At 38.0% G+C, this 8,192-nt stretch overlaps 1 annotated feature.

Annotated features, from left to right (window-relative positions):
• Positions 6,102-6,695: an enhancer, noted in NCBI's record as "OCT4-NANOG hESC enhancer chr3:106548882-106549475 (GRCh37/hg19 assembly coordinates)". NCBI's record gives its function as "activates a minimal SCP1, AML or CMV promoter by ChIP-STARR-seq in naive H9 embryonic stem cells {active_cell/tissue: H9 hESC(naive)}" and the evidence as "EXISTENCE:reporter gene assay evidence [ECO:0000049][PMID:30033119]".

Genomic DNA, 8,192 nt, shown 5'->3' on the forward strand with positions numbered 1-8,192 from the left:
CTTTCCTACCCTTTTTATGACGCTCTACACAAGAGGTTTCTAGACTGTGCCTCACATGCTGATACTGCTGATGTTTTCAGGACACTGAAATAAACTGCATGGTTTCTTTTATAAACTTTATAAACTGTATGGTTTCTGCTGCTTCCTGACCTGGACTTCAGGTACCAAATTCTCTCTGTACTGAAGAGCGAAATTCTAATTATTAACCCTGTGTGGTACACTGTCACTAACATGGAGCAGGGATCCCTCTTAGGGGCCTGCTACCTAAGATAGCTCCCCACTCCCCATGCATGAAAATAAAGAAAAATTTTGAGTTCCTTCAAGGAAATTTCCAGGTACCTAGCTAGCTTTGGTAAGTAAATGAGCAACCTGATAATAAGCAAAAAGGTGATAATAACTTAGAACAACAGCCAAGGAAATTTGAGCCTCAAGATGTTTGATTCCCTTGGTAGCTAAAGGTAATATCTTAACATATATTCCTGAGTTGTTTTTCATAAACCTGGACCCCCACTGGGTAGAAAATGCCATCCACTGGCACACAGATCTCAGATAAAGGGGCACTGAGGGCTGAAATCTGACTGCTGTTCTTTGTTCTAAATTTCTTCCTGAGGGTCCTGGAGTCATGCCCACAGGCCAAACTTCAACATTCCTTTCTGCTAACCCCAAGACTTTAGACAAAGATTTGCTCTCTTAACCAATCACAAATCAAAGAATCTTTGAATCCACCTATAACCTGAAAGGCCCTGCTTCAAGATATCCCACCATTTTGGGCCAAAGCATTGTATAACTTCCATGTATTAATTTATCATTTTGTCTGTAACTTCTTTTTTGAAATTCAACCCTGCCTTTAAAATCCCTTGCTTGTAAACCATCAGGGAAGTCAGGTCTTAAGCATTAGCTGTCCAATTCTCTTTGCTTGGCACCCTGCAAATAAACACCATGCTTTCTCTTGCTGCAAACCTCAGTGTGGATGTTTGGTTTTACTGTGCCGGATAAGCAGACCCAGGCTTGGTTTGGTAAAACCAACCAGGCCACAAGGTGTCACTGCTTTTGCCCTTTCTCACACAGTCCTTTCACTTCTTCCTTAGCCACTATTTAGTAATGGTTTCCTCTGAACTCAAAACTATTCCAGAAGGGCAGTGAATTGAATGATCCACAATAAAATGTGACTCAGACTACACTATGAGTGTCCATCCTCTTGCACACAATGATTTACCTAAGCAAGGTCAATCAGAAGTTGACAAGGCTTCTGAAGTTGACAAGGCTACTGAAGGAGGGCTAGTTTTTCTCCTTCTGTGAGATCATAATTTTTTTAAAAACTGGCTAAGTCTGGACACTCCAGGAGCCATCTAGATGCCACACAGAGACAGTCTGTCTTGAGAATAAAGCCAAGAAGAGGCAAACACAGCATAATTTAGAATGGCGCTCACTAACAGAGTTGCCACCACGCAGTGTTTTACATTTGAACTGATTCAGAATAAATGGAAATACTTTATTTTCTCAGTTGGCCATTAGCCGCACTTCAAGTACTCAATAGTCACATGTGACAGTTGAATTAGACAGTTGAGATATAGAACATTTCTATCATCACAGAGTGTTTTATTGAACAGCATGATCTAAAGGAAGAAACTGAGTTCTAATTTCATCCTTTAAACCCCTGTATCCAGCATTGCCTAAAGCTGCATCCACTTTAAATTTCATTTTGATTTAAGCTAAAATAATGAAAGCATGTTTAACTTTTACTTGTGACCTTTAAAAATTTACAACATAAACTAGCCCTCGGTCCTTTTCCTCAGAACCAGATGCAGAAAACAGACAACCTTTTCATGTTTTTCCAGGTTTTTTTTTTTTTTCCATGAACTATCCTGAGAAGACTCAACCTCACCGTCTCCTTCAGAAAATACACACACACACATAAGCACACATTTACCATGAAAAGAAATTTGAGGCAGGGGTTTGGTAGGTGTTATCACAAAGCCAGTCTCTAGTGTCAAAGATAACCAAATCGGACACTAGTTTAAAGTAGTGAAAACAGATTTTATTCAGTAATTGTTAACAGTAGGAGAAAGAGCGGAGCTGCATTCTGATTTGCACAGAGGTGACTGGGCAATTTAAAGCAGGGAGTCAAGTGAAAAATTACAGTCAGTCAGTATAAATGCCATTAGGCCAGCTGTGTCTGCTGGCTGGCAACTACTGAAGTTAGGATTCTGTTCTCTTACAGAGCTTGGAAAACACAGACTATCCTTCCTGATGACTGCATTTCAAAGGAATGGCTTTCAGGCCCTTGAGAAAGACACTCTTGAATTGTATGAAATACAAATACATCTCAAAGAAACACAGAAAGGATTTCCAATTTTTTTGTTTGTTTGATAAACATTCTAAGAAAGGGAGACCTATCATCAGATATTGAGTAGAACAAAGGGAAAATTCTTTTGACAGCCCAGAGCTTTTCAAGACAGGCACTCAAAAGAGGGCTGGATTTGTCCCAGAGACAGGCCTTAGGTAGCTATTGGCCATGTTAAAGTTTGGTCAAGTCTCTCGGTAGTGCACGGGTTTGAATGGAGTATTTGTACCCAGAGTTCTTTGCAGTTCTCATTACCTAGATTTTTCCAGAATGCTCAGTCAAATGCAAATCATGTAATTTAATCTACAAGGCAACCTTCTGATGCCGAGATCATTATCCACTTTACAGATGAGGGAACTAAAGCTCAGAGGGCTTAAACTACTTGTTCAGGTCACATACCAAAAAATTAAGAAGCATATTGGAATCCAGATTTCTGACAAAATTGTGTTTTTCCTCCTATCGCCCATAACTTTGTCTCCCTACAGAGCTCCCTAATTTTTCATGCATGTTTCTGTAACTAGTTTTCACAGAAGTGCCCTTGCCTTTAAATGACAAAGCCTGTAAGATTTGAATAGGAAGGAAAAAAACTCAGAAAAATGTCAGAAACTTGTGATTAACAGGCAGCAGGTGTATAAACTGAAAGTGCGAGACTCACATCCATTGTCATCTCAGCAAATGGCTTGGTCCCAAAGTTGCTGAAGGGGGAAATCTGATTATCTTTGCTTCCCCAGAAGACTGATAAATCGAATTCAGACTGTTATTGTTCCAGATACAGCCTGAATCTTCCATAGGATTTTAATCAGCAGCAGCATTATGTAGCATATGGGAGTTATTTGGCTGAAAGGAGACTCCAACTGTCACTGGTACATCCGCTCAACATGAAAGGAAAATAATAATACAAAGTAATGGGGCTTTCTTATCTACAGAGCAGCTTCCCTCTGAGAAACTCTGTGGTTTACTGTACTACATCTTTACAACATCCTGTTACGTGGGTCAAGCAACTACTTGACTATAATCTTGGATGTTTACTGGCTGATTCCACCAACATTTTAATGTCTTTCATAGCTCTTTCTCTATCTCAACTTATAAATCCTGTTTCCTCTTACTTTTCAATCTCTTCTGTTCTCTTTATTGGTTAACTTTCACCCATCCCTTCCCATTTAAATTGTCTCATCCTTCATTCATCTTTCTCAGTACTATGTGTTTTCCTTTCCTATCTTTATTTTATAGAAGCCTAGATAGGGAAATTAGAATTCATACGACAATAGAGTCTTTAGTTCAGTTACATCATCCTGTTTTTCTACAGTATCGGGCAAATGTAGCCTTCACTTTACTTATTTACTCCCTTAGTCACCAAAACTCTATGGAATGTGTTTGTTTCAAGATTCGAAAGGGAGTAACACATGGTCTTTTCCTTCAAACATGGAAGACAAACCAACAGCTAATGACAATAGAATGTGATAAGTGTCATCTTCTTACTGAGCCCATTAAAGTACAGAGAAAACACACTAAGTGTGTGGTGCCTATGGTGGCTGATCCCTAGAGCCAGATTCCAGAGTCAGGCTCAGAAACCAGTCACCGGGTTTCTTTAAAACCCTTCCCCCATCTCTTGACCTTTGTTGACATGCCTCAACCCCCATCCCCACCCTTTTGCTCCACACACCTAGAAAGGTTGTGAAAGGAATATTATGCTTAACAGTCTTACACACACCTGAGGATGACATTGACTGAGCTCATCTGTTAACTCATGAGTCAGCATTTCTAGTAAACTAGGAATCAATCTAAAGTACCCCCCCACCCCACCGTGTGTGTGTGTGTGTGTCTCTCTCTGTCTCACACACACACACAAACACACACACTTCTCTTTTTCAAATTACAGGGAATATGAGCAATGAACAAATGTTTTGCTTCCTAATAGCACCAACATTTTTTTTTAAAAGTATCAAGACTCTCTTGAAATTCCTATATTTTGTCCAAACATGTAGTCAAAAGTGGTGAACTAGTCATTGCCAGTTTTATGCCCTTGGGTAAGAGATAAACTTTATCAAATGACAGCAAAAAGAGAAGGATGGTTAGAAAGAGAAATGATCACGAATTACACACTAATTCAGTAGTGGAGCCAGCTAAGAAGGTACTATTTCCTTTCCCTGTCTCTGGACCTAATCATCTAACTTCAAAAAGTCAACTGCCAAAAGAGAGAGAAGATGCCTCCTCTACCATGACATTACCATCAAAGTGTTCAAGCTTTAGAAAGGAATACCTAAAGTAATGAATGCTTGCAAAAGAAAATCTATGCTGTCTGTACTTGGGTGGGAATTCAGTAAAAAAGAATTCCTCCTTCACAATTAATAATGAAAAAAAAAACCTATTTCATTAACATCAAAAAAACCCTAGGAAAAATTAGGCAGCAAAACAATTCTGAGTGTCTCAGATAAGGCCTGAAAATCAGAATCTAGTCACTTGGGATCCAGAGAGATGTGACGCTGTTGTTGAGAGTTTATGCTGAGAGTAAAAATTAGGTAGCAAAAAGTCTCTATATAAGATTGTAATATAATCCTTTTTTTTAAACAGAAATAATAACCTTTTCTTCCTTTCTCTTTGTATAAACACAGTACCTAGGACATAATAGATGCTAAATGTTTATTGCATAGGTAAATAAATAAACATTATTTTCAAGCACTCCAAAACGAGATTTAAAATAATTAGCATAAAGAATTATAAACATAGAAAGCCTTTTAGATTCAAAAACCATAAGCATAGAACTAATAAAAACTGCATAGGAGAAGTTCAAAACCCACATATTAACCTCCCAATAAATTTGTTAATCTCGATTTGCAGTAACAACACTGTTATTGCAAAACCAATACATCTTAGGCTAATGGGCTAATTGCTTCAGCAAACATCTTAGAAGCCTCACTGTTTTCACACAATGAACTTTTCATTCTTGTTTACGTCTGAGTCTAAGGCAGGAGTGGGATGTGGAGGCGAGATACTCTGCACCATGAAGCTATTCAGGGACCTTGATATTTTAATCTGTTGGTTCTTTCATTGCCTATCACCTCAGGATTATCCACAGGATGCCCTCCATTTAGCCAGCAGATGATAGAGACAGGGAGCATGTGGTAAATGGTATGGGAGGTTTTGTGGTTCAGGCAGGGATATGGGCACATTCCTTCTGCCCACATTCCACTGGCCAGAACTCAGTCTTTGACTTTAAGTCAGACGGGCTGAAGAGCTTCCTTTTGATAAATAATAGGCATGTTAGTTTTTAAGCAGAGAAATGACCAAGATGAAAGTTGGGAAGTACATTGGCCATGCTGAGTAGAAGAACCTAGTGAAGGGATAAACTAGACACAGGGAGATCTGTTAAGAAGCTATTGCAGTAATGTGGGCAGAGAATGATGAGGCTCAGACTAAAGTAGTAGAAAAAGAATAACAAGAAAATGATGAATTTGCAACATACATTGACTGACTTGTCGACTGAACAGGAATGAACCAAGTAATATTCTTGGGTTTTACAAATTTATAAAATTTGGGTGGGCTTTTAGTTAACTGATGCATTTTTTTGTTGGTTTATTAGTTTTTTCTCAAAGGGATTATGATAATAAAGATTTAAATGTGAAGGAAGTTCATAGAATGCAGTGTCTGTGGGAAGTCAGGGAAAGCTAATGAAGAGTCAAGAAAAAACAAAGGGAATGTTTTGAAATTCTGTAGATCACATCGAGGATTTTAAACTCAATGTGTGATAGCAAATTAAGTGTCAAAAGAGGACAAATTATCTTCAAATATTTTCCCCTATTTGTTTTGTTGCTATTCTCCACAACTGCCAAACATTCAGATGCAAATAAAATGCTTGAATAAATAATTCCATTTTGGCTGTGGCAACTGGCTTACAGTATGCATTTTGGGAAATTCTGTAAAGATGTTATTTTTAGGGCTTTGAGGAGAAAAACTACCTGGGAAGCTAACTGGTAACCACTTAATCAGACAATTGATCTAATTGAAATAGCTTTAGTCACATTGTTGACATGTATTATAGCAATTAACTAATGCTCAATAAGTTTAAAATACATCATGAAAAGTCCATTACTTAGACAAATAAGGGTGCCATTAATCCCTAAAAAAAAAATCTACATTTCAAAGCCTTCCTGCAGCCTTTCTGCAATTTATGAGAGACAAGGACATAGCAGCAGTACCGAGCACAGGGTGATCCCTTTAGTGGTAGTAACAGCCAGAGTGATTAACTTAATGTGAGAGCATTTCCATTTCCTTGAGCATGTCAGCACCCCCCTCTTGAGTCCCACCTGGGGCCAATTACCAGAAAATTCCAGAATATTCATATTCTCTCTGTACTGGGTCATTCACAATAAAAACAAAAGAGACTTCCTTTCTTTAGGTCTTCTACACATTTAATTCTTTTAATGGAAAGAAACGAATTCACATACATCTCTCAGTTGTTCAATACAAACTTGGGAGAAGTACTTTTCGGCATCTATGCTGTTTCTAGGCAACAGGAACATTTTAAATAAAATTTTCATTAATTTCTCAACAATTATGCAATAATTTACACGTGCAAGTACTCTATCAAATACCTTTCATCATACATATTCATAAAGTAGAATTTGAAAAATACGCTCACACAGTAATAGATTCAGAGTGCAAAATGGAGCAGCAGAATTCCTAAACAGGAACATGTCATTGCTAACAAATAATAAAGCACCAAAGAATACTTGAGCTACTATGAAACAAGTACTCTTTACTTAATCCTTGTCACAACCAAATAACGTAGATGCTGATATTGATCTCTATTTAGAGATAAGTAAACTGAGGCACCAGAGGGTAAGTAACTTGCTGTAAGTCACACAGTTGGGAAATGACAGAGAAAATGCAGGGACTCGGCTGGCTGCAGGGTTCACCCTCTTAACCCCTTGATGTCTCTTGGAGCAGGAGCACAGAGAATATTTCAGTATCAGAAGCTACATATGTGGTTTGTAGGATGGGAAGGGCATGGGCAAGAAAGGAGCAGAAGGGGTGAAACGGAAGTGTTAGGCAAGGATCAGGTGATAAGATATTTGGATAATAGAAATTACAAAACTATTTGCTAATAATTCCAGTAAGAACAGTGATAATCATAAGGCTGTGGATTTGCACAAAACATGCAAAAAGGTAATGGACAAATCAGGGTTGGAGCCTCAGCCATCTGCATCTATTTCCAGTCTTTTGAAAAATAAATACTGTTCAAGTAACTCTCCATTGAGAGAGGCTGGGAAATAAAATTTGTTTACTTGTAATTAACGTTGGTCACCTTTCCTGAATTGTTGCTTAGATGCCAAAGATTTCTACCTACATCTTGCTTTCAGAATTTTCTGCCGAGGATCAAACTCATGTTACCGATTGCAGTTTCCTCAGTAAAATTGTCTGTGACATTCTCAAGACCTATCAAATAGAATGTTCTGCATCAACACATGTTTCTATAAGACCAATTTTCTCTTGATTAGAAAATACATCTCAGAATCTGTGTACACAGGCAAATGTCTTTGCCACTATTGCTCCTAGTAAGTTGCAATCACCCATGCACTATATCACTTTTAACAAAACAACTAATTTTTATTTCTGATTACTAGAGCATAGGTAATTGAGAGCTATCTGTCATACGCAAGATTTGAGCATACCAGAAATTTCATAAATGCATACAATGCACACATTCTTTTTATACTTTCTTAAAGTGGTTAGATAGAAAACCAAAAGTGCCCCAGGCTAGATTTCCCAGTGAGGAGATATTGATATGGAGATAAACATGAAGGAAGATTATCAGGGAATACTTTTGTTACTGAAATACCAGGGGCTC

Source organism: Homo sapiens, chromosome 3 (genome assembly GCF_000001405.40).
Source record: "Homo sapiens chromosome 3, GRCh38.p14 Primary Assembly".
Classification (NCBI taxonomy): Eukaryota; Metazoa; Chordata; class Mammalia; order Primates; family Hominidae; genus Homo; species Homo sapiens.